The following is a 3,987-nucleotide window of genomic DNA, read 5'->3' on the forward strand; positions in this document are numbered from 1 at the left end:
CAAAAACTCATATTCCTAATGCCTCACCTAACTATGCGATATTAGATCTCATTTATGCTTCTGCATACACCTTTGACATTGCCCTTGGAAATATCCCAATTTTTATCTTACTACAGAAAAAAGTCACTATCCCTCCCCACTACTTTCTTAAGCTAGTCTACCATTCTACTTAGACTATTATGCTGGAATACTATTATTCTATTTAGACTATCAGGCTAATCATCAAGTATAATTCATTATTGTTTTCATTAGCTAATTTTAGGTAATTTTGTAACCCTACAAATTCTCTTGAAACAAAGTCCCTATGTGCATATCTATCAATACAGAATCAGCTCCCTGGTAGAAACCACTGTGACAGGCGTTGTCAAATAGTTTTTCTTTGCTCCAGGGCAGCCTGGAAGAATAAATTTTAAATTTGTTTTTCTTTCTAAATGACTTAACTCCTGGATTTTGCATAACAATATCTGCTAAAAAGTAATCTGACATTATCTGTTTATTATCTTTCTTTCTCTACTAGAATGTAAGCTTTCTAAAAACAAGGATTTTTTTTTCCACCGCTGTGTGCTTAGCACCTAGAAAATTGTCTGAGACATAGTTGAAACTCAGGAAATATCTGTTGAATTAATGAATAGATATGAAACGATATGAAAAGCAGAAGATATTTATCTGGGTCAAGAAGAGACACAGGATAGGGCCTTCAGAGTCTGCTAAATTCCTAGGATGTTATCCTAGGCGAAAATGAAGGAGGCCAAGTTTCCTATAGTGCTTCCACTTTCCATTGGTGCACCTCTCTGCCCAGACTCCCAGGGCTCTGACTCTGCTGTCTGGAGGAAAACAGTCTCACAAAGAAATAATTAATTAGCTGTCAATTCAGTGAATAATTATCAAGCACTGGTCATGTGTCCCAGGCATTACACTAGGTCCTAGAGTTGAAAATAATAATAACAAGATAGGGACTCTGCTCATCATCTGGTGATAAGTGCTAGGAGCATAGAAAGGAAAACAATTACAAGCCTACTGCCTTGTCATGGGAACACTCAAGCTACCATGTGCAGACACTCACGTGATAAGGAACTGATGCCTCCTGGCAACAGCCACATGAGCAACACATCAAGGTAGTGGATCCTCCACCCCCACTTTAGCTTCCAGATTACTGATGGCCCTGCCAACTTCTTGACATCAACCTCAAGAGAGATCTTATGCTAGAATCACCCAGCTAAACTGTTCCCAAATTTCTGACTCACAGAAACTGTGAAAAATATGGTTCTTGTTTTAAGCCACTAAGTTTGAGGATAATTTATTGTGCAGCAACAGATGACTAACATAGACTTCAGTGAAAAATGAACTTAAAAATGGGATGCTAAGCATTGCTCATGGGGGAAAACGTTTTCACCTCAGGTGGACATTGTTGAAAGATTTCTTGGGATGTGCAGACAGGTCACTATCCAAAGCACATGTTGTAATGCACTAAGGATTTGGAGTCCCAAAGTTCCTTCTTGGTAACTCATCGCAACTCCAGCCTAACAGACTGATCTTCCTAAAAGTCAAGGAAGTGGGTGGGTCACCTGAGGTTAGGAGTTTGAGACCAGCCTGACCAATATTGTGAAACCCCACCTCTAATAAAACAAATACAAAAATTAGCCAGGCATGGTGGTGTGTGCCTGTAATCCCAGCTACTCAGGAGGCTGAAGCAGGGAGAAATGCTTGAACCCAGGAGACAGAGGTTGCAGTGAGCCCAGATCGTGCCACTGCACTCCAGCCTTGGCAACAGAGCAAGACTCCGTCTCAATAAATAAATAAATAAATAAATAAATAAATAAATAAATAATAAAAGCCAAGCAAACCGGGTCTGATGAAGCAAGAAGTTAAGAATTGGATTCATTCATTCAGTACCAAACACTGAAAAGAAATTGGACTGGCTTTAAAAAGGACCACGTAAAATGTGTGCACATATCCACTAGGGTATTAAATCTCTGGCAAATAACTATAGGTAAATCCTAAAATCCAAAACAAAATAAACTGCCCTGACTCATTCAGTTTCAATATAAAAATAAATAAAATATAATGTAATTAACAATAAAATGTACCTAAGAGAGAAAGAATGAAAGTTACAACCTGGAAATATTTCCGCTAATGAGATTGATTTGTTGTTTGACCACTTCCGCTGCTTCTTAGCGCCTTTAGGATTACCCTCCTCTCACTGTTCCCTTTCTTCTATTTCTATTAAAAATGACTCCACTTGGATTTTAATAATGAAGCATTAATATTTTCATCTGCAAAGATACATTCTCTACTGGTCTTGTCTCATTTCCTTCCATGAAACATAGGCCCAAGTCCCAAGTTTCTTGCTTTCCCTTGGCTTGGATCTAAGGGCAGCCTGACTTTTCTAGCTTTCCTCTGTAACTTCTACCATTACACCTCACCCCAGCCTACATGCTGACCTTTCGTTTCCCACCGCCTAGACTGAGAACCTGGTCCACAGTTAGTGCTAAATAAATACTAGTTGCTTTGTCCTTACCATAACTGTCACCATCGCCATCATCATCATCATGACCACCATCACTGTCATCTGTAGAAGTGCCAATTCCTTGTCTGGATTTCCAGCCCTTTGTTCCCCAGCTGGTTAGCTTCGGTGGGCAATCCTGTCTATTTAGGGGTATGGATTATCAACTTTGTCTGCTCAGAAATACATAACTTACCTGACCACTCCCTATCTTAGCCAATTTCCCTGGTCTTCAACCCCATGCCTTCCTCAATCCCTGGTACATTTATTTTCTTCTTCCACATAATCACAGCTTGTTAGAAGTAGAAATCATCTTAAAGATCATCTTGCTTAACCCCTACATTTTAAAAATGAGAAAAGCAAAATTTAAGTAGGTGTTATAACTAGCGGAGCCCACTTTCCATTCTCCAAGTCCAAGGTGTCTTTCTCTATGACCATGGTTCTCAGCCAGGGATGATTTCGGCACCCAAGCAGTGTCTGAAAACATTTCTGATTGTCAAAACGTGAGGGGCAGAGTATGCTCCTGGCATCTGCTAGTGTTTAGCAGTATCCTTGTCCTCTACTCACATTTAATCCTACTGCTGTAAATGGTGTTATATAGGAGACAAATGACGTTAAGAAATTAACGTAAGTACACTTGGCTAGTAAGTACAAAAGGCATCAATTACAAGGCCATCTGGCTTTAAGACACAATCCACTCTCCACAGTTGTGCCCTTGTCAAAAGAAAAGTAAAAAGGTGCTATATACTTCTGTTTCTGGCCCGGCCTCTTTCTTTCCGTGGTGATAGCACTCACACAAACATGGTGAACATTCCTAAAACCCGTCGGACTTTCTGTAAGAAGTGTGGCAAACACCAACCCCACAAAGTGACAAAATACAAGAAGAGCAAGGATTCTCTGAATGCCCAGGGAAAGCAGCGTTATGACAGAAAGCAGAGTGGCTATGGTGGGCAGACTAAGCTGATTATCCCGAAAAAGGCCAAAACTACAAAGAAGATTGTGCTAAAGTTTGAGTGCTTTGAGCCCAACTGCACGTCTAAGGCTATTAACAGATGCGTTTTGAACTGGGAGTAGATAAGAAGAGAAAGGGCCAAGTGATCCAATTCTAAGTGTCATCTTTTCTTTTATTATGAAGACAATAAAATCTTGAGTTTATGTTCAAAAAAAATGAAAGGTAAAAAAGTAACCCTCAATTATAGTATCATAATATTTTATATATTATAGTACATTATCATTTTTTCATTTTCCCAAATTTGGACCATTTATAGTTCTGAATTTCACAAGCATAAACTTATGTCCCCAGGGAAGAAAATTACTACTGTCCTTACTTGATGAGAAGAGGAATTGGCTTCAATAAGTGTTATAGGGCTCTGGGCCAAGTCTTCAGAGGAGTCTAAAATGATTTACTAGCTCAGCAAAGAAGAGGAGGACATCTTGCCGACAACACTGCAGTTAGAATATGTTACCATAGTTTGTTCTCATTC

At 39.3% G+C, this 3,987-nt stretch overlaps 1 pseudogene; it reads left to right on the forward strand.

Moving 5' to 3' along the window:
- Nucleotides 3,272-3,664, forward strand: RPL36AP31 (ribosomal protein L36a pseudogene 31; annotated as a pseudogene).

This window comes from Homo sapiens, chromosome 8, assembly GCF_000001405.40.
Source record: "Homo sapiens chromosome 8, GRCh38.p14 Primary Assembly".
Taxonomy (NCBI): domain Eukaryota; kingdom Metazoa; phylum Chordata; class Mammalia; order Primates; family Hominidae; genus Homo; species Homo sapiens.